The sequence below is a fragment of the Homo sapiens genome, chromosome 1, assembly GCF_000001405.40.
Source record: "Homo sapiens chromosome 1, GRCh38.p14 Primary Assembly".
Lineage (NCBI taxonomy): Eukaryota > Metazoa > Chordata > Mammalia > Primates > Hominidae > Homo > Homo sapiens.
In genome coordinates, this window is record NC_000001.11 from 216,087,031 (window position 1) to 216,110,845 (window position 23,815).

At 34.3% G+C, this 23,815-nt stretch overlaps 1 protein-coding gene across 1 annotated transcript in view, besides 1 other annotated feature; it reads right to left on the reverse strand.

Moving 5' to 3' along the window:
- The window catches only part of USH2A (usherin), an 800,558-nt gene that overhangs the window by 464,140 nt on the left and 312,603 nt on the right, over positions 1-23,815 (reverse strand). Inside the window, exons 22-23 of the mRNA NM_206933.4 lie at positions 10,053-10,183; positions 1,983-2,109 (exon numbers count right to left, since the gene is read on the reverse strand). Of these exons, the coding sequence (NP_996816.3) occupies positions 1,983-2,109; positions 10,053-10,183 (258 nt within the window). The remainder of the gene's footprint in view (positions 1-1,982; positions 2,110-10,052; positions 10,184-23,815) is intronic.
- Positions 8,267-8,811: an enhancer, noted in NCBI's record as "NANOG hESC enhancer chr1:216268639-216269183 (GRCh37/hg19 assembly coordinates)". NCBI's record gives its function as "activates a minimal SCP1, AML or CMV promoter by ChIP-STARR-seq in primed H9 embryonic stem cells {active_cell/tissue: H9 hESC(primed)}" and the evidence as "EXISTENCE:reporter gene assay evidence [ECO:0000049][PMID:30033119]".

The following is a 23,815-nucleotide window of genomic DNA, read 5'->3' on the forward strand; positions in this document are numbered from 1 at the left end:
CCTCTTCCTTTCTCTACCCATAGGCACCCCCTAAGTACTCTAGAGGGATGAATAGTGGGCTGGGTTCCAGTACGAACTGCCAGGGCCAAAGGCCAGGGGAACCTGGGTCTCTGACTGTGTGGCATAACAATGGAAATCCCTGTTCATATTTCTAATGCCCACCTTCTTTGAGAGAAGAGGCAAAGTTATTTGTGTTTGTTTTTCCAGAGCCCAATCCACTCCAATTAGCCCTACTTACATCTGTTCCCTTGGCTTTCAATACCATCCTTTGCTGGAAGTTCTGACTTCAGAACTAGACTTGTTTCTTGAGCAGCCTGCCTGATATCTCCCCTTGGGTGTCTTAGAAATCTCAGCCTTAACATGTTCTCAACTGAACTTTGAATGTCTCTCCCCAAACCTGCTTCTCCCACAGTCATGCACTCCCTGGTTTTGGCAGCTACATTCTTCCAGTTGCCTGAGACCCAAACCTGACAGGCTTGCTCGACATTAAGGGCCAGTAAACTCTGTCAAAGGCCAGACAGTGTCTTTGTAGACTATTCAGACTCAAGCAGCCATAGATAATACGTAAATGAATGGGTGTAGTTGTGCTCCAATAAAACTTTATAAAAACAGGCATGAGCTAGATTTAGCCCATGGTGATAGTTTACCAACCCCTATTCTGCCTCAATCTCATCACCAAATCCTGTTAATTTGACATTCACAGTATAACCAGAATCTGAATACTTCTTATTATATCTTCAATTATCACCCTGGTTCAGGTCTCCATGATTTCTTGTCTGAATTATTACAGAGTTATTGCAGAAGCCTATTAACTGATCTCCATGCCTTCACCCTCATTCCCCTTAAAATTTATTCTCAACAGAGCAGCTAGTGTGATCCTTTTAAAGAAAGCCGTCATATTATGTCATTCTTCCCTCAAAATCCTTCAACAGTTTCCTTCTTTCAAAGTAAAAGCCCACAAGGTCCCATATAATCTGATCCCTAATGGCCTCTGTGACCTTATGTCATGTCATTAGCTCTTTTACACCCTCTTTCCCACACTGGCCTTCTTGTTGGTCCTTGACATGCCACATGTAGTGTGCTCTCACTTCAGGGCCCTGATACTTGCTGTCCTCGCAACCCAAAGCATCCTCTTCCTGGATATTTACATGGTTTCCCCTTTGTCCCTTTAGGTCTCTGCTCAAATGTCACCTCATCAGAGAGACCTTTCTTAACACACACACGCACATACACACACAACTTTCCCTCTCATCTGGCTTTTTCATTCTCAGAATTTATCACCACTTGATATTTGTTTAAATTTATTTATTCTGTATTTTGCTGCCCCATTCCTCCCATAAAATGTAAGTTTTACAGTATTCTCTTTGCTCCTTGTATCCAGAGCACCTAGAACAATACCTGGAACATAATAGGTACTGATTAAAATTAGATATTTCCTGAATAATTTAATAAAAGCCTGCATCATTATACAGGTACAGTGATCATGTTATAATTACATAAATGTGGCAGATAGGGTAGGCTGGAGCAAAAACTAAACTTAAATGTGAAAAAACAGGATGTGTGTCCCAAGAATGCTTCCTCTCAACTGTGTAAGTTAGGAAAAAATATTTACTTTTTTCTCAGCCTTGGTTTCCTCATCTCCAAATGCAGACAAAAACTGCTTTCCTCTACTGTATGTGTTTTTTGGAAGTCAAAAGTAAGATGACAGAACATAACTAAAGGTCCACACGAATTGTAAAGAACTGTAAAAGACATAGGTGACTTCATTGTTATTTTTTTCTTTACCAAAGACCTTCATGGATGAAAAACTGGTTGCCAGACTTCATCCTTTTAGGAGCATCCCAAAGGCAAATTCAACAGCAATATATATGGAATTGAGTAGAAATTATGGTGAAATAAGAATGTAGGAATATAAACAACAGAAAAGTATGGCAACACCAACATATCAACAGGGCTATTTATACATATCAAAAAGTACTTACCTGTATATATCCCATCCAGAGTGATTTGGCCAAAAGCCTGATGCCTAATAGCAATTATTTCATGCCATTTTCCATCACTATATTGTTTGCCATGATCATTAGTTGTAGTTACTTCCACTGGTGACCCCTTAAGGGAATGAATGAATAAATAAATGTTTATACATGCATATCTACAAATAAACACACACATATTTGTTATAAACCAATTTACAAGTTTCAAGATTATGATCCTGATACAAGCATGCATACATTTCAAACAGAACTCAAAATTAAAGCTGATGTCTAGCATCATTCTGGCTTTCCTGTGATGTATTAATACTTCCCTGTGCACCACAGTGTACAGATCTGTAAAGGTCTCACCTTTGCAGTAAGAATTTCTTACAAAGTCACTTGCATTTTCTGATGAATATAGCTATTCATCAGAAGGGTAAAGAATTTTCTATTCTAAAATTTTAGACTTTAAGTTTCATGGCATAAATATGAAAAAGAAGAGAAAAATTTAAAACTCATAAAATACCACTCAAAATGAGTTCTGAAGATAGAGAGATGTCAGACAAGTCACTCTTATCTTCACAAAATTATCAATAACAAATGGGAATGACATTCACCTTAAAAACTAGCCAGTTGTGATACATTAAACATAAGGGTGGAGTTAAATGTAGTACACAATGCTTTGTAGTTAAAATCCAATAATTATAGTTCTGGCTAAGGTAATCATATAATAGTTAAAAACATGTTCCTAAGTGATAAGACATAGGAAATGGCAGATATTAAGAACAGAGTTTAGCAAATAGGAGGTAAGAATAAAAAAAAAAACTGAGAAAGAGAAATAGAAGAAACACCTGCCATCTCACTACTTTCGAGAAAAGTAAACAATTTTCCAGTATGTTATAGTAGCCTTGGTTACCTATAGTAACATTTTCTGTGTTAAGTGAATAAGACTAAGTGAAAGATATCCCAACTTTGTCACCAACAGCTACTAGTACTACTATTAAATAAAAATAAAAAAGAAATTACAACTTCTAAATGGGAATGAATTTTCTTCTTAATAAAGTTGATTTACTTAACAAGAATAAAGCTCATTCTAATAAAATCTTTAAAAATTAAAAAAATTAGATTGGGTAAAATATTACCAAAACACTTAATTACCAGAAAATTTCACCAAACTCTAATAATTTTGCTATGCTGTTTTTTTCAAAAAGAGAAAATAGATAATTGTTTGATGTAATGGTGCTGAAGATGTATATTGAAAAACATACAATGTTAATCATACCATCTTTAGTATGATTTCTGTTTATCTTTCTCTGAAATGGCTTCAGTGATACAACATGTCCACTCTACACATTTAATTGGTTCCTGTCGGGCCTCATAAAGAGCTCGACAACATGTATGACATACAGAATTTCATGTTACCAAAGTAAAAAAAAAAAAAAAAAAAGCTTTTAATTTCCCATGAGTATGAGTGGGTTGTCTCTCACATGGACAATATCCCAACTTTTACAGACAACTCCATCAGCTAGAAACATGACCATCTGGCAAGTTCTAGTCTTCGTATTTTTGTAGGTTGACTTTCCTTATATCTGTTTTGTCTACACACCCTTTTATTTTCTTCAACCCTATTTCAACATTTTAATATTTTACAAACACACATTTCATTATCGTAGTTTAATAATTAAAACCAGAACTGGTGTCGTGCCCAATTAATGTGCCCTGGTAGCATGCCCATTAGTTTTTCCATTAGTGAATTCAACAATACTAATGGGATTACTAGCATGGGATGCTAATTGGGCGTGACATAAGAAACTGGCTTACTTCTTAGCATACCCTTGCTAATGATGAAATTAATGAGCATTTTATTAAATGCTGTCTCATCAAAGTGTACTTAGTTAGCGTTAAAATTGTTACAAACGATGCTGCATTCTAAAGATCAGGTGTCTGAATAAGTGGTTCTTCATATTTTGTTTGGCAACAATCTGAAGCATTAATAGTTCTCTACATCAGAAATCAAGTTTATTGGAGACAAATTCAAGTACATTACCTACAGCCTCAGCATGACAAACTCACTTTATACTTACAGCAATTTAGAATATCATTTTTTGAAGACTATTTTAAGATTACTTCCCCCCATCAATGTTGAAAGAACAATTCTGTGATGACTTCTGGTGTCATATTATGCATGTTGTTCTTTCTATTTGGAACATATCAGACACATTCAATAGATGCTATTCAGAATTGTTTTAAAGCTTTCATTTTCACAGCTTCCTTCCAAGTAAGCCCAGAATATGATGTGAATTTCCTGTTAATGTCACTGAACATAGAATATTTAAGGGATAAACATAGATCATTACTGGTCACTAAAATATTATCTGATCAAGTATATTCAAAATTGAATTTAATTAAGTGAAGAATGGGAAAATTATAGAAAATTGTTGGAGATAACAATAAAAACTGTAATTAAAAGTTGCAGTTAACTTTTCTTTATTGTATCTTTTAACAATGGCAAGTGCCCAGTTTGTAATATACAAACACATTTCCAATTTTATGTACTATGAAGAATCTCCCTTTCCCTAAACATTTATTCAATAGAATGCTTCGGATAGTTGGATGACAAACCAAATACATTTTTATATCTATAGCCTCTACGTTGTATTAAATTGTTTTGTAAGGAATTTAATACTCAATTTTATTAAGATATTTTAAAAAGAGCAAAGTACACAATGACTTCAAGTTATTTTATAAATATGTGCTAGATAACTACTTTAAAATTCCTTGAAATTCTCTTCATAATTCAAAATTTGGCTATTTTGAATGAATTCAGTAAAAACAATTTAAAAATAAGCATCTCGTTTTTTCCTGATAAAAATCAAATTATCTGAAAAACAGACAAATTTGAACAAGGCTGGGCATGGTGTCTCATGTCTGTAATCCTAGCACTTTGAGAGGCCAAGGTGGGAGGATTGCTTGAGGCCAGGAGTTCGGGACCAACCTGAGCAAAACAGCAAGACTTTTTCTCTAATTTTTTCAAAATAAAAAAAAATAAAACAAACATCACAAAATATCTGTGTAATCATTACAAAGCTAGACGTTGTAAGCCAGAAAAATGGATAATTTTCTTCAGTTATGAGTAGTAGTATCCTACCAACAGTTATTGAGTCAATCAGCCAGGTAATATGTCAATGGTCATTTATTTACTGGGCATCTACTATGTTCCAAAGACTGTTCTAAGTCCTGAGGAAGTACCTGTGGGCAAAAGATTCATAGACTTTGCCCTCACTGGATCATACAGTCTGATAAGACAGACACACTAAGTACATAATTACTTGTGTGATGAGTATAAAAAGTATTCACTAGATAATCTCGTCCGCATTTAAAGATTAAAGGAGAAAAACTGACTTAAAGTGGTACCCAAAGTATTTAAAATATAAATAAATGTAATGCCAATAGAAGGCATATGAAATAAACTTCTATACTTTTTAAAACCCAGAGTAGCTCTAACTTCATACAAGAAGCTGCATTGATATTACTTTGGAAAAAGAGAGCAAATAAGAGAAGAGTATTCAAAATTTTCACCATCCCTCAGTTTTAACACTTCTTTGTCTAAAAATGAGTGGGGCTTTCATTATAAATTTAGAAAATATGTTTAGTACCTGTTTTAGAGTATAAATTCATTGGAAGTAAGGAAGGACACAGTCCTTGCTAGCATAAGCTCGTTGTTTCATATATAGAGAGCCTCATGGCCCGTGAGCACATAGTGTAATGCATCTGATTACATTTTCTCAGCTAGATCCTAAGGCCATCCTGCTCAACCCATATCTTGTATTTTAAAAAATAATTGTCACTTTCCTGAAAACTCAAGCAGTTTTACCTTATGGAGAGAGATTATTTCAGATAAAAATTTACTTACTAGACATCATTAAACCTTCCTCACTCCCTTTAGCCCCCAACTTGGCTTTAACAATTTTTTTTTTTTTGAGACAAGGTCTCACTCTGTCACCCAGGTTGGAGTGCAGTGGCTCAGTCTCGGCTCACTGTAACCTCTGCCTCCCGGGTTCAAGCAATTCTCTGCCTCAGTCTCCCGAGTAGCGGGGATTACAGGCACCTGCCACCACGCCCAGCTAAGTTTTGTATTTTTAGTAGAAACGGGGTTTCACCATCTTAGCCAGGCTGGTCTTGAACTCCTGACCTTGTGATCCACCCGCCTCAGCCTCCCAAAGTGCTAGGATTACAGGCATGAGCCACCACGCCCAGTGGCTTTAACAATTTTATTAATACTTGGCTGGCACCTGCGGACTATGTATACAGCTTAGGGTTTGGCTATACAGGGTAGGGACAGAGCAACTGGGAAAACTAATAGCAGTGACGAGTACTCTAAGCAATTGTGTGAATGAGAAGGGTAAGGGGGCGGAAATGATGGGCAAATGCCCTGTGAATGTTTCCCTGAATTCTGTTACCACGCTTTGCACCAGCCTGTCCAGGTGATCACCGTAAAGGATATGAAAACAACTAGACCTGCCAGATGAGTTTCCTGGCAGCCATTCTCCGTTAAGCAGTTTGACCCCTTTACCCTCCTATCCTACAGAGTCTTAAGGTATCGCATCCTTTAGAAATAGCAACACCACATGTCAAAAGAGATGGCAGTCATGCTTCAGACTTGGGGAAATCATTTTTGGATTAATTCTCCAATGACTGTCCCATGTTTGGTAGGGGGGTGGCTATAAATACTCAAAATCTGTGATGAACAACCAATGGCCAGAATTCCAATGAGTGTCATTCTGTTCATTTCTGTGTTCCCAGTGCATAACTGTGAAGTCCAATAAATTCTTAGCAAAGTTTCATTGAATAAAATAATTCAGTGCTATTCAAATAATTGAATTCAGTGCTAGTTCTATCCCTAAACCACTCTATGACCGTAGTTAAGCCACTTCATCTAAAGCAGGGATGAAAACAAAATCAACCTCAAGGGGCTACTTCAAGAATGAAATGAGATCATTAACAGGAACTCACTTTGTATACTTTAAAGCTCTATAAACAAGTGGTCCTGTGATTAGTTTTTTTTCCATCTGGCTTCTTCTTAAATATCTCCAGATACTAACAGGTTGAAGGGGAAAAAGCAGAGCCAGATTTTTCTTTCTCATTGACAGTCTTCTATTTTACTGTACTCTCCCCTTTCTTTTTCTGATTTTTGTTGATTTTTTAACTTAGCATTTGCTGTCCTTTTTAACCTTGTTAATTTGGATGTCCTGAAGAGCACTTTTTATTAGTAGTAACTTATTTTTCTATAACATTTGAAATCAAACATTTGCCCTATTTATTTAACGAAAACAAAACGTCAGTATAATCTATTCCCTTATTCCACCCACACCCCGCCACTAAGCTGGTATCTTCAGAACTTTTAATTCACTCATCTTTCCTCTCCTTCAAATCTTACTAATTTTAGCAACAAATGATTATTCACGTTTTTTTTCTTGCCTTTGCTATACTTCTCTTCTATTTCAAAGATTCTCATTTGGCACTGTAAAACAGAGTTCTAGTCACTCTATCATTAAATATTTAGGCATAACTTAATATTACTAGATTTATTATTCACTGATGCTTCTTCTTTTTATATTTCTGACTCTGTTATTTTTCCTTTTGGCTAGATTACTTACTGAAATATTTCTTTCCAACCTGGTGCAGAGATGGATTTTTTTTTTCTGAATTTATGGATATCAACAACCATCTTTCTTTCATGTTGAAAAGCAGTATAGCACTGTAGCTAAAATCATGGTCTTTGGAGCTCAATTGCTTGTGTTTATAACCTGGCTTGGTCACTTATTAGTGTTGTGACTTGGGGAAAATTAACTTACCTGTGGCCCAGATTCCTCACCTGTAAAATGGGAATATGAAGAGTATCTACCTCACAGAGTTGTTGAAAAGTTCAAATGAGTTTATGTGCGTGTGTAGGTGTGTGTGTGTGTGTGTGTGTGTATAGGCATATGTGTGTATGTAAGTGTACAAACTGATGTATAGAGAGACCACTTAGAATAATGCCTGGCACAAAGAGGTCTCATAGAAGTATTAGTTTTGCTTAATCTTGACAGGAAATTGATGAGTCTTTTCAATGGATTTATACTAAATTCCCTCTTAAATCAGATATTCTCTCCTATTTTTTGTTTCATCATTTTATGTTATCCCTCTTTTTCTTGAGCATGTGCTTTTTGTTCTCCTTCCGATTCGCTTCTTAGTGACAGTAGTAGTATCTAACTTTCTTGTTTTTGTCACATTTTTATGTATTTTGAGAGATTTCTTCAACTTAATCTTCTGACCTACTAATCTGAGGCTCAGTGTCTCTCCTCTAATTAATCTACTTAAAGTTTTCAAATAAAAAATAATATCTTCCATTATGTAATTGAATCAACTTCAGCTGATTTTTTAAAAATTTTTTTCAGTTGCCATCTGTCTTGCCTTCTGCGATAGCTGCTGCTTCTTCCTTTCCCTCTGGCTGCAGGATCTGCTTAGGTGTGATGCTATTTCCTTTTGCTTACTCACTGCCCACCTGCTGGCATCCTTTAAGAAGCTGCATTACTAGGGGACGCTCAGAAATCTTTGTGTCTGAGGACCTGCTGTGCACCAGCCAGGGAGTTAGCAGAGCCCTGTCAAGTCATGAGGAGGGAGCCTTTCTGTCCCTGGTCCTTCGAGTGGCCACTGTGCGGCTCTCCCAGCTTCATAAAGCAGGAGGACTTTGGCCTGCTTTTTGAGTCTGGCAGGGTCCTCAGATACACTTGGTACAATAGGCCCTGCCTTTTCTCTCTAAGGTCAATGGATCTCCAGGGTTCATGAGGCTGAGATCCTCAGTCAGATCACTCAGTCCATGATCCTAGACGCAACTTGGATACAGAGGGTGAACGTTGTGTCTGCTTTACCAATAAAATGTAAAACATTTATTTGTCAAGCATAACGTGTGATTTAGATCATCAGTTTTAAGTTGAAGAACTGAGAAAATGGAAAGCTAATATATTTTACTTAGTCTTACTCATTTCTCTTACTCATCTCACATGCTTAATACAATACCTAATATCAAATGCTCACTGATATTTGTTCAACTCAAGTGAAGACAACTGTTCAGTGCTTTCTCACTGCCCTTAGGAAAAATTCATATCCTCACATTTGCTTACAAGGTCTTAAATGACTTGGTTTCTACCCAGCTTTTCAATCTACCACCTTTCCCTTTGTCTCTGTTCCCAGCCATAAGAGATTCATCTCAGTGTACTGAATGTGCCATGTTCTCGTCCACCTCAGGCACTTAATATTTGCTATTTCCTTAATATTTGCTGCTCACTTTGCCTGGAAACTTTATGCTCAGCACCTTCCCAGGTGGAGATCAGAATCTCCCCTGTACTGCCCCACCTGAAATATACACCCTCAAATACAGACATATAATCTTGTCCTGACCAACTTTTCTTCATTGATTTGTATCTCAGTTAAATATCACATTTCCAGAGAAAATTGACAACTCAGAAAACAATTTATTTCTTTATTTTATGTTCCTATAATACATAGAATCCTAAATCTTTATTTTGATACAATTTATAAGAATTTTAAATTGATTATTTTACTGTATCCTTTGCAGGGGCATGGTCATATTTAACTTTGAAACTATGGTAGTCTGCAACGCCCAGTACCATAGTACCCGATAGCCACTTAAATATTTGCTGGTGAAACAATGAAAAAAGAAAGACAGGGAAGGAAGAAAAGGGGACATGATTTTTTGCTACTAAGAAAAATAAAAATAGATCTCTTTAAATTTATTTAAAAGTTTTAATCTTCATTATAAGGTGGCATTTTGGTTGTTAAGCCCACAGATTCTCAGTCAGACCATGATGGTTTAAAAGTTAGCTCCGCTATTTTAGCTGAGGGCAAGTCACATTACTTTTGTAAGTTTCATTTTCTTGATTGGCAAAATGGGGATAATAATAGTACTTACCTTACAAGGTTTGAATGAAGATTCAGTGTGAAAACAGAAGCATTTACCTCAGTACCAGGCACCTACTAAATTCTTAAAAATATTAAAGTTTATGATTTCTCATTTACCTGAGGATCAAAAAGAAAATAAAGACGTCCCTTCTTCAACTGAAGTGCAAAATACTCTTCCTGATTGCCAGGTGATGCTGCAAAGACAATCAAACCTTCAGGCACTTTTGTTCGAAAGCTGGCCTTAATGCCTGGTAAGACAAGTGTGATCAGCAAATCAGTGCTGGGGTTTTGTTGATTCTTTCTGATAAATGTACATTTACTTTCATTATTATTTATGATGTAGTGAGTACAGTCAGGAAATTATACACAGCAATATACTCGCATGGTCTAGGCCATTTGGTTTTAAATATATCCCATTTTAAATGCCATTCAGTACTTGGAATCTTATGCCCACATTCCTGCTAATCAATATATAATGAAGTTTAAATTTATGCAAAACTCATCAACCCAAAAAGACATATTGTCAACCCAAAATTGGATACTCAGAGTATCAATGTGAAAACATTATCAGAGAGTCATAAAAATAAATGGGTTTTTGACAAGAGTGAAAGAAACACAGAGGGTCTTGCTTAAAATATTTATGAAGTTTAAAGAATCGGTTCAGTAATAGAAGTTAATATTGGAAAGACCTGCCATGAAGAGGCCTATAGAGGTAATTTCCTGAAACACCACCCTATAACCAAATGGTTTGCAGCCTTCAGAATTTTGGGATCTTTACTGACCCTTCAGAGCACATACTAGCCCTGCATATCATAGGATATACAATGCTCTTTTCTCATAGAAATTTCCACAGCTTAGGAAGCAGGGGCAATATGCAACAGCCCTATGAATGATGCCTTCTCCCTACCATTACATGTCCCCATCTCCAGCCCTATGAATGATGTCACCCCCCTACCATTACATGGCCCCATCTCCAGTCCTATGAATGATGCCTCCCCCCTACCTTTACATGTCCCCATCTCCAGCCCTATGAATGATGCCTTCGCCCTACCATTACATGGCCCCATCTCCAGTCCTATGAATGATGCCTTCCCCCTACCGTTACATGGCCCCATCTCCAGTCCTATGAATGATGCCTTCCCCCTACCATTACATGGCCCCATCTCCAGTCCTACCATTACATGGCCCCATCTCCACTCTACTCAGTATCCCACGTACTCAACACATACTGTGGAGCTCTTGCCCTGTATAAGGCTTTTTGCTTAATGCATTAAAACTGGTAAGAGACACAATCTCTGTTTTCAAGGAATTTCCAGTTTAGTTGAAAATATTAAATGTATATGTCTTAACAAATTATCCTGTGGAATCAAATAAGAGCTCAAGACCATATATGAAAATCAAATAACATCTCAAGAACACAATAGTGAATAATGAATGAATACTGATTTGAGTAAAAATACAGTCAGGCAGGATAATAAAAATTTAAAGGAAGGAGATCTTCCTTCAGGCTGGGCTGGTAACCAAAAGCCCTACATAGGTGGGTGGTGGTTAACTCAGTTTCAATAGACAGCAACTACTCCAGAAGCCATGTCTGAAGAGAAAAACTTTAGCTAGGATTTGAAGGCAGGAAAGCAGATATCATTTGGTGAACATTGGACTGTCGTTTTTTCAACATACATCTATGGAACACTAACATTTGTTGAATAGTACTCCGATACACAGCAAAGAAGAAAAACTAATAAGCCCATAACTGACATTGAGTTCTAGTTGAGAAAAAAGACAATTAAAAAAATGTAATGCAATGTGATAAATGGTATAGGGATGTATACAAAATACCTGATTAAAAGAAATTGAGGACAGTTTTAGATAATATAGTACTTCAGCTTGTTTTTAGAGAATATGAAGGATTTGGCGGGAATTGTACAAAGTCCTAGAGGTATGGAAAGTTTGAGGAAGGCTGGTTGTGAGGGAGACAGTTAGATAAATCTGGAGAAATAGGTGAGACCACATCTGTACAATCTGGCTTGAGAAGTTTGTATAGAAGACAAAGATGAAAAAGAATGCTGTGTTCTAAGTCATTTTTAGAGTGCTATTCCTTTAGTCACAGCAAAGGTTAAGTTTAGGATACAAGCTTTAGACTTTCCAAGAAGGCAAATCAAATTTATCCTGGCCTTCTTGACTTCTGCATCTCCATCTTCTACGTTTTATGCTCTTGGTCATTTTCAACAAACTTGTCCTAGTGATTTTTATTTCTCATTGTTACACACTCTCTTCTTCTCTTACTCTGGCCTGCTTGAATGTTGTGTTCTTGCTGTCAGATTCAGGATGCAGTCCTTCCTGGCAACTCTTCCACTCCACAGAATAGAATTGTTTGCCCCAACAAATTGCTTTTCAGTAGTCAAACACACTTGGACTCCTGCTACTAGATGTATTGTTCTCTCTCATCTCCCCTATTAAGTGCACTGAAATGATTGAGCCACCCATTTGAAACATATCCCATAAATTAATGGAAGAAATTAAAATTTGAGTGGAGAGCAGGAATAGGATTTTCAAAATTGAGACTAAGGCAACAAAATTCATGATGAAATGTAGGGAGGAGACGTAACTTAGCTACACAGAAAAGAGGTGAGTGCTGTGCTTTGGGAGAATAAGACAAGGACAGACAAGTAACTGAATTAGTAATTGAAAGGATAAACTCTATACATACCAGGAAAGGCACATTAAGACATATTGATATGAGGTGATGGTGTGGGGCAAAATGGTCCATTCTTTTCACCAATTATTGAGGAAAATGGGGCATTAATAACAGAAATAGAAATGTCAGATAAGGAAGGAAATCTGGGGTTAGGAATTATCTTTAGTTTTAGGCATACTGAACTTATGATGCAGAAAACTCTGCCTGCCATTTGGAAATGAGAAACTAAATCTTAGAAGAGAAGACGATGCTAGGAAAATACATTGGCAATCACCTATCAAAAGCCATGTCTAAGAGACAGATTGTAGAAAAAGAACAAGAGCCTTTAATGGAAATGTCCACATTTCAGAAAAGAAAAAAACAAGGGCAAGAATAAAGTTAGATCAAGATAATATTGTAAAATGGAAATCTAGATAGGAGGGAACTTTAAGGAGGCAAGGTTAGTTAACTGTGTAAACACTTCCAATAGGTCCAGAATAATTAGAACTGAAGAAAAACTTACGGAGCTGGTAATGACATAATCTTTTTCAGTTAAGTAGAATGGACAGACTCTTGACTGCTGGGTGATAAGGACTGAGGAAATGAATGAGTAGAAGGTGGGTACAGAACACGAATTAGAAAAATCTGATAGAGAAAGAAATGGGAGACATATAAATTAATTATCAGGGTAGACCAGGGAGATAAAAGGAAGCATCTACCAGCAGAAACATAGACGTAGAGTCTGGTCTACAACCTGAGCAGAGAACAATTATATTTCTACCAACTCTTTTCTTCTCTTAAGCTTCTCTCCTTATGGTTCAGAGTAACACTACTTGAGAAATCTTATCTTTCTGTCACCACTTTTTATGTGATATTTGGTATCATATATTATAATAAAACCTATTCCTATAAAATTACTCAGCTTGAGGTTATTTCACAAAAATGCTATAATTTGGAACATGAAGAGAGCAAAACTCTCTACCAGTGTGTTGGAGTCATCTATGTGGCAGTAGAGAGGAGAATAAAAACAAGGAATTGGGTGTTGGAAGATATCAATAATTGCTCAATCTGGGAAGACAACTACTTGTCTTTAATTCAAGAGAAATCTGATGAATGAAAATAAATCAGTAAGAATTACAGGAATATTTAGACAAGATATACGTGGGAATCTCATAAAAATTATGCACTATTTAAGAAATATGCAAGTTCGTGTGTTTTTCTAAAATATATTATTTAATTTTCAAGTTTTATGCTTATATGAGAAAATGCACTGCTAGTGCAACTAAAATATAATATTTTACACAGATCAAGGAAAATTTCTTAAGAAGGGAAGCTATAGTATAAAAAAAGGCAATTGGAATTGATGGTGTATGTGAGACTTTCCCACAGCATTTTCCAAATAATTTAATCTTCTCATTTTTCTCTTTACACTGCCAAAATAAATAATGAATGTCTTTTGTGCAAAATCTATGACAAAATTAAAAATGCACACGTTCACTGAAACATATTCTTGACAATTAATTATTGCCATAGATATAGATAAATTCTATCTTTTGAGCCAAATGCTGAAATCATGTAATCAATTCTTTAAATGAACTAAATAAAAAAGAATACATTTAAATATAAACATAATATTTTGATTAACATATAAAACATTTTAAAGAAAACATTACTGACTCTACCGTGAGACAGAATGGTAACATGCATAACTATTCAAAATTATTAACACTCTCTTTTCCTATAAGAAGATTATGTATTTACAGATTCCCAACTATTGACTTAGGCTTAGTGATGTGACTTGTGTTGGCCAAAGAAATGAAAGTGGACATGCGGTGTGCGCAGGAGAGCAGAAATTTTAATACAGCTGTGTAGTTGAACTTGTCTTCCCCTCTGCCTCATGAATGTGTTATCATCCTGGGCCCAGGAATAAGAAGAGCTGTGGATCAGAGCCCAGCAGTGCCAAAATATTTTTGCTTTTAATGTTTGTGTTAAGCTGAAACACTGACTAAAATGGGCAGACAAGTGAAAATTATACTTTTCTCACTTTCTGAAATTTAGACTTTGATTTTCAAAAAATGAGACAGGAAATGTTCTAAAGTTCAGTGTTTTGGTTTCTAGTGTTTAAACAATAGAGCATTTCATGCATCTCTATATTCATTCATTCAGGAAATATTTAAGGAACACATACTTTGTACAAATGGTATACATGAGATGTGTAAAATAAACTTACATCCATGGCCTAACATTCTAAAAATATGAAAAATCCAAGTTCTACATGGAAATATTTAACTTTCAAGTAAGAGGTTTACAACTTTAAAATTTAATCATAAAAATCATACACGTTCGGGGCCATGGATTAGGCAAAGAATTCTTAAACGATAAATGTGAAGCTATAACATAAAGGGAAAAGTTGATAAATTAGACCATGTTAGAATTAACAACTTTTGGCTATCAAAAGGTATGAATAAGAGAATGAAAAGACAAATGACATAGTGAAAGCAGATATTTGCAATACATATATCTGATACCAAGATACATAGCCAGAAAAAAAAAATATGAAAAAGATGGTCGGTATCATTAGTCATCTGAGAAATGCAAAATGAAATGCAATACCACTAAATATCCATTAGAATGGCTAAAATGAAAAGGAAACACAAAGTGTAGCCAAATATGTGCAACTACTGTATATGTGTGTATGTACACATACACACACGTATATATTACATATATTTTTATATATAATATTAAATTAAAAAGTAAAATGTTAAATTTATAATATATAATGTAATAATATCTATACATGCAACATTCATAAACTACTAGTTGGAGCGTACAACCTCTTTTAAAAACTGACAGTATTTATTAAGTTATACTTGTGGGCCGGGCACAGTGGCTCACGCCTGTAATCCCAGCACTTTGGGAGGCCGAGGCAGGCGGATCACGAGGTCAGGAGACCGAGACCATCCTGGATAACACGGCGAAACCTCGTCTCTACTAAAAGTACAAAAAAATTAGCCGGGCGTCGTGGCGGGCGCCTGTAGTCCCAGCTACTCGGGAGGCTGAGCCAGGAGAATGGTGTGAACCCGAAAGGCGGAGCTTGCAGTGAGTGGAGATCGCGCCACTGCACTCCAGCCTGGGCGACAGAACGAGATTCCGTCTCAAAAACAAACAAAAAAGTTACCCTTGTATCTTTTGATATATGTATGTTTTCATCCAGCCGTTCTACTCCTGGATCTACATCCAGCCCCACCCAAATGCATAGGGTCACAAGATATACAAGTATGTTTACAGCAAGACCTTTCATTACACCTTCAAACTGAAACATACACACGTGTCACTCAACTGTACAAACAACAGATATAGCAATGAGAATGAACAACTATATACATGAATCTCACAAACATGGATTGTGTAAGAGATACTAAGTACACAGGAATATATACTGTATGATCCCATTTATATCAAGTTCAAAACTAGACAAAAATCCACGTATGATGTTAGAAGTCTGGATAGAGGTAATCCTGGCTGGGATTTAGAAAGGGCACAAGGCAGGCCCACTGGGGGCCCAGTAGTGTTCTATTTTGTACTGTGGGTGCTGGGTACACAAGGCTATCCGGGTTATAAAAATGGGTCAACCTGCACACTGCTACTTTTTGCACTTTTCTGTATGTATGTTAGACTTCAACACAAACATTTTTCAAAAACCAAATGTGTCTCTCTTGAACTAAGAAACATAAAAAGCCATCCAAAAGCCTTTATCCCTGTCAACTTAACTTTGTTATTGCAGATACAGGAAAATGTAAGACATTTCAAAATGATTGGAAATTGTCAAGTAATAGCCATACAAAGCTATTGTAAGAACAAAAAGAAATCAAGAACTAATACATTTCAGCTGATGAAAATTTTGCCTTCCAAAATCCAAATCAAGAGAAGGAACCTGTAATACAAGTCCCTAGTATGAATGAAAAAGCTGCTAAAAAGTTACTATAGATTTTTTTAATCTTTTATCAGAAATTTAAATTCTTACAATGGACATGTAGAATACATAAAAAAATCCTACAACTCAATAAAAAGCCAAGCAACCCAATAGAAAATGAGCAAAACGTCTAAACAATCACTTGACTAAAAATTCTGATATGCAAATAACCATATTTGCTCATGAGAAAGATGTTCAGTGTCATCATTCATCCAGGAACTGCAAATTAAAACTACAATGAGACACATCTCCATACTCACTAGAATTGGTCAAATTAAAAACACCAAAATCTGCTGAATAGGTGATGCAATGGAAACTCTCATACATGCTAATGTAAAGGCAAAATTAAACAATCATTTTGGAAAACTGCTTGGCATTCTCTAAGTTAAACATATACCTAGCCGAATCCAGTCTTTGACTTACCTTTTCATTTTTTTTTTAATTTAAAGTTTTGATTCTTTTTTTTTATACTTTAAGTTTTAGGGTACATGTGCACAACGTGCAGGTTTGTTACATATGCATATATGTGTCATGTTGGTGTGCTGCACCCATTAACTCATCATTTACATTAGGTATATCTCCAAATGCTTTCCCTCCCTCCTCCCCCCACCCCACAACAGGCCCTGGTGTGTGATGTTCCCCTTCCTGTGTCCATGTGTTCTCATTGTTCAATTCCCACCTATGAGTGAGAACATGCGGTGTTTGGTTTTTTGTCCTTGCGATAGTTTGCTGAGAATGATGGTTTCCAGCTTCATCCATGTCCCTACAAAGGACATGAACTCATCATTTTTTATGGCTGCATAGTATTTCATGGTGTATATGCACCACATTTTCTTAATCCAGTCTGTCATTGTTGGACATAGACCAATGGAACAGAACAGAGCCTTCAGAAATAATGCCACATATGTACAACCATCTGATCTTTGACAAACCTGACGAAAATAAGAAATGGGGAAAGGATTCACTATTAAATAAATGGTGCTGGGAAAACTGGCTAGCCATATGTAGAAAGCTGAAACTGGATCCCTTCCTTACACCTTATACAAAAATTAATTCAAGATGGATTAAAGACTTAAATGTTAGACCTAAAAGCATAAAAACCCTAGAAGAAAACCTAGGCAATACCATTCAGGACATAGGCATGGGCAAGGACTTCATGTCTAAAACACAAAAAGCAATGGCAACAAAAGCCAAAATTGACAAATGGGATCTAATTAAACTAAAGAGCTTCTGCACAGCAAAAGAAACTACCATCAGAGTGAACAGGCAACCTACAGAATGGGAGAAATTTTTTGCAATCTACTCATCTGACAAAGGGCTAATATCCAGAATCAAACAAATTTACAAGAAAGAAACAAACAACCCCATCAAAAAGTGGGCGAAGGATATGAACACATACTTCTCAAAAGAAGACATTTATGCAGCCAACAGACACATGAAAAAATGCTCTTCATCACTGGCCATCAGAGAAATGCAAATCAAAACCATAATGAGATACCATCTCACATCAGTTAGAATGGCAATCATTTTCTTAATATTTTAGATGAAGTTGAATTTACCATTTTTTAATGGTTAGCGCTTTGTTTGTACCTTGTCTGAGAAATCTTTACCAACACCAAGATGATCAAGATATTTTCTCATTTATCTTCTAGAAGCTTTATAATTTCAGCTTTTATTTATTAGGTCTATGAACCCATCTCAAATTAAATTGTATGCATGATGTGAGATAGGGGTCAAGCTTTATTGTTTTTTTTTGACTCCTATACACTATACAGTACTATTTGTTGAAAAGATTGTACTCGCCCCATTGAACTGCCTTACCTCTATCAAATTTTAATTGACATTGGAAGTCTGAGTCTATTTCTGATTAATTTGCCAGTACAAATACTATGAAGTCTTAATTATTATGGCTTTATTTTAAATCTTGAAATAAGATGGCTCAGTTTGCCATTTTTTTAATACTTTATTCAATAGTATTTTGGATATTCTAGGTCTTTCAACTTGTAGAATCAACTTGGGAATTTCTTCAAAAAAGCTTGCTGGAATTTTGATTGGAATTACATTAAATGAATAAATTGACTTCAGGAAAATGGCTATTTTAACAATATTTTGTTTTTCATCCACAAACATGATAAATCTTCATCTATTTAGGTTTACATTGATTTTTCTAAGTTATGTTTTATAGCTTTGGCTATACAAATATTTTCATTTATTTTGTTAAATTTAAGTGCTATGTTTTGAATATTCTTTTAAATCCAACTTTGTTTAAATTGTTTATTGCTAGTATGTTCAATTAATTTTGTTTATATTAACATTGTATTCTGCAATCTTTCCAAGTTCATTTATTAGTTTTAACACTTTTTCAAAGATTTTTTAAAGCATTTACATACAAAATTATGTCGATGACAAATACATTTTCTTTTCCTTTTCTATATTTATGACTTTTATATTATCGTATTGTTTTAGCAGTGGCTAGAACTACTGGTAAAGTTTGAACGAAAACTTGATCCCTATCTTAAAATCAAAACATGCACTATTTCACTTTTATATATTTATATATATAAATATATAAGTATATTAAGTATGTATAAGTATATATAATAAATATATATTAAATATATATTGTATATATATTTTGCCTGTTTTACGGCCCAGCATATTAGCTGTAGAATATTTGTAGTGTACATTTCATATATGTATACTATATATATATATATGTATATGTATTCTGTAGAATATTTGTAGTGGTCCTTCATCTCTCCTATTCTTAGTTTGCTGAAAGTTTTCATTATGAATAGGTATAAAATTTTGTGAAATGTCTTTCAGCTGTATTGAGATAATATGATATTTTGCTATACTATTTCCTCTATTAATGTGGTAAATCATATCGATAGATTTTTAAAATTAATCCAAAATATTTTTTTCTCTCTCTTCCTCTCCTTTTCTCTCTCCCCCCTCCTTCTCTCCCCTTACCACTCTCCATTCCCCAACACCCATAATTCTTGCAAATCAATTCTGGGCTTTGCTTTCTGTTTCCATTTCATTGATATCCAATTCTGCCTTAATTTTTTTCATTTCTTATTACTTTGGTCTTAATTTGTTCTTTTTTGCCTGTTTTAAGAAGAAGCTTAGGAAAGCTTGGACTTTTTTCTTCTAAGATAACCATTTAACCTATACATTTCTCTCCAGGCCTTACTTGGGGTGCATTCCAAAAAGTTCATGTTATACTTTATTTTTTGTTAAAAAATTCCCCTTAATTGGTAGGGCATTTAGAAATGTGTTGTTTAATTTGAAGTATTTAGAAAATTTCCAGATAGCATTTTCAGACTGATTTCTAATTTAATTCTATATAAACAGAGAATATATTCTGACTTCAACTTTTTAAATATATTAAGATTCTTTTATGGCCCAGCATATTAGCTGTAGAATGTTTGTAGTGTACATACTTTCAAATATACATACTTTCCATGTACATTTGAAAAACAATAGCTATTTTCCAGTTTTGTATAGAATGTACAATAACTGTCACTGAAGTTTGTTGATAGTGTGTTTGATTTTTCTGTATTTTTATAGATTTTTATCAACTTCTTTTATTAAGTACTAAGAAAGTCATTTAAAAATCTTGAAATATAGAAGGGAATTTGTCTATTTTGTCCTTTGGTTTGTAAACTTCTGCTTTATGTATTTTGAAACTCTATTACTACATATAAGCACATTTAGGATAATTTCTTCTTAATCAATTGACTATCATTATAAAATGTCTGTTTAGTAATATTACTGGTCTTAAAGGTAATTTTGGCTGATATAAATATTGCCACTACCATTTTCTTATGATAAATGTTTCATGGTTTATTTTTTCCATCCTTTTACTTTTAAGCTTTTTATGTTTTTATACTTGAAGTGTGTTTCTTGTACACCCTTTGTAAGTCTTGCTTATTTAGCCAGTTTAATAATCTATTCTTTTTGATTGTTGTGTTATGTGCATTTATATTCAACATAATTATTAATATGTTTTTAACTTAATTTTACCATCTTGCTATTTGAATTCTCTCTTTTCTTACTTTCTTCTTCTTTTTTTTTTTTGCATTTGCTGTTTGCTTCTTTGCTGTGCCTTCCCTACCTTGTTATGGATTAGAGGAGTTACCTTAACATTCCATTTTGCTACCTTTTTCATCTCCCTAGGTAGACTTTAGACTTTTTAAAATGGCTCTCTAAGGATCATCATATGCATTCTTAACACACATACTATCACAAATTAACATTATACTACTTCACATATAAGATCCTTACAGCAACATACTTCCATTTACCATTGTCCAATTATTTGTACTATTTTTTATACAGTTTAATTTTATATATGTTGTAAACTGCAGAATATGTTTAAAATTTCTTGTTTTCACTAATCAAATGTCTTCAAAAGAGTTTTTAATAATATTTTCTGTTTATTCACATTTTTAATTTCCATTTTCCTTCATTTTTTCCTCACACTTGAGTTATTATTGGTATTTTTAGCCTAAAACTTTTTTTAGCACTTCTTGTAATGCAAGACTATTCATGATATACTAACTCTTTCTTTAATCTAAAAATGTCTTTCAAATTATTTTTGAATAATACGTTCACTGAATATAGAATTGAGATTGGTGTTTTAAAGTTTCTAAAGATATTGTATTATCTTCTAGCCTCAATTATTTTTGATGAAATGTTAGCCTTCATTCATTTCATTGTTTTCTTCTATGTAGTGCCTTTTTCCTTTTCTCTAGCTGATTTTAAGGTTTTTATTTCCATAATCTTTTTTTTTTAGTAATCGGACTGTGAGTATACAATATGTGGCTATATTATACTTATTCTACTTGGAATTCATTGAGCTTCTTGCATTTTTAGGTTGTTTCATCATCAAATTTGAATATTTAGCAACAGTTATTTCTTCAAATATTTTTCTGCCTATTTCTTCTTCCTGGAACCCACATCTCCATGTATGTTAAATCTCCTGATATTATTCCACATGTTATCGATCTGTTTATTTTTTAACCTATTTTTCTCTTCATTTTTCTTTGGTTACTTCATAATGATATGTGTTTAAATTCATTAATCTTTTATTCTGCACTGACCAATTTGCTATTATACTTATCCAATAAAGTTTTTATTGTAAATTTATACTTTTCAGATCTAGAATTTCCATTTTATTTCTTCTTAGAGCTATCATTTATCTCTTAAAATATTTTATCTTTTCATCCATTATATGAATTTTACCTTTAATTTTTTTTAAATGTTTACAATATTTGCTTTAAATTCTTTGCTTTCTAATTACAGTAATTTGGCAATCTGTGGATACATTTCTACTGACTTATGTAGAACTGAAGTTGGGCTTTAATTGTATTTAGTTCACTTGTGTTTAGCTCAACCTTCAACCATTGGTGATGCCACCTTTTGGATCTTATCCTCATTTGAGCTAGCGGGGGACTTGGCTGGGACTATAAATATTTTTGGCTCATATTTGGATTAAATTTATTCATAATTCTGGAATCCAATCATGGCAAAATTTCATAGGAATCCACTTCTAGGGCCTCTTCAACTGACTTTATCTTAGCAAAATTCAAGTGTGGAGGATAATAGTGTAACCTGGGGCTGAGCTACTTGCTTTGGCATTTAGACTTTTAGATCTAATTTCATCTTACTAGGCTACATTGTTGTCTAAGGGTGGATGGTTTCCCCTTGACCTTAAAAATTCTCCCCATCTACAATAGCATACTCCTCCGCTGTCTGAACAAGTGTTTAGCCTCAGATATGGAAGCTGCCACAGCACTCTGATCACCTATGAAGCACTTATTTCTTCCTAAAATTCAATTCAGCCAGGGTTTTCTGCATTGCTTGCTCCTTGACAGACTCATAGAAAAAGATATTTCTTTAGTCTGGTTTTCTTGTTGTTACCATGAAAGCGAAGTTCTTTCTTACTGTTCTACATCCCAATTTGAAACAGAAGTTTCTAATTATTTTATGAGTAATTTTGTGAGAACAGGAATGCAACTGTTTTATATATATTTCTCTTGACTCCAGTCAATTTGTAGATTGTTCAACTGGTTCTATATTTTCAGTGGATTATCTTGGATTTTACAGGAAATATTATCAGAAAATAATAATTATCTGATCAATTTATGTCCAACTTTTAAACTCCTATTTCTTACTGCATTAATCGGACCTCTGCAACAGTGATAAGTGATAGCAGTGATAAATTCTTCTCTTTTTAATGCTATTTCATGTTTTGTAAAAATTGATGTATTTATCTACATATTTGTTCAATTGTCTAATCATCTTCATATTCAATATTTTTTCTTGTAAATTCTGAATCTTTCTTAAAGATATACCTGTATTTTCCAAATGTACCCTTTATATAGATGATTATATTCTCATAAGAATTTTTCAAAAATTTAGGATAGCCTTTAAGCCAGACATTTTCTCTTTCTAGCTTTCAATAACAAGGTTAACAATTTTTTACTTTAGAAGCAGATATTAATCCACGGGTTTAGAAAAGTCAATCAAGTATCATATGATGTTAAAAATAACAAAAACAAAACAAAACAAAACAAAACAAAAACCCAGCCAGGCACAGTGTCATATGCCTATAGTCTCAGCTATTTGGGAGTCCAAGGCAGGAGGATGGCTTGAACCAAGGAGTTTGAGTACAGCCTGGGCAAGATAGTGACATAGTGAGACCCTGTCTCTAAAACAAAAGAAAACAAAAAACTAACAACAAATACTAGTTAACTTTTAGCAGTAATAAAGAAATGGATTAATGAAAGGAAGAAATGAAAACATCAGCCTACATTAAAACATAAAACTAGAGAAAATAAACAGTAGACAATAACTTAAAGATACATCAGTTCCATTAACTTGCCTTTGCTTTCACCAAAATACATGTTTGCTCTGAATAATAAAGATAAACAAGAAAGGCATAATACTTACTTTAAGGGAAACCCATCCTATAGCAGTAGAAGTATTTGTATCCAAATGAGTACAAAATATTATAAAGACCCAGTACAAGAGGGATATGTAATCTACAGCTATAAAATAGCAAAAGTGATTAATTTTGTTGAAATGAGAGCAAAATGATATACAGAAAAAGTTCACAGAAGCTGTGATGGTTAAGCAGGACTGTGAAGACTGAATTAAAATTCAGTGTGTGCACAAAGAAGTGAAGGGCATTACAGGGCATCAATAAATAAATGTTCATAG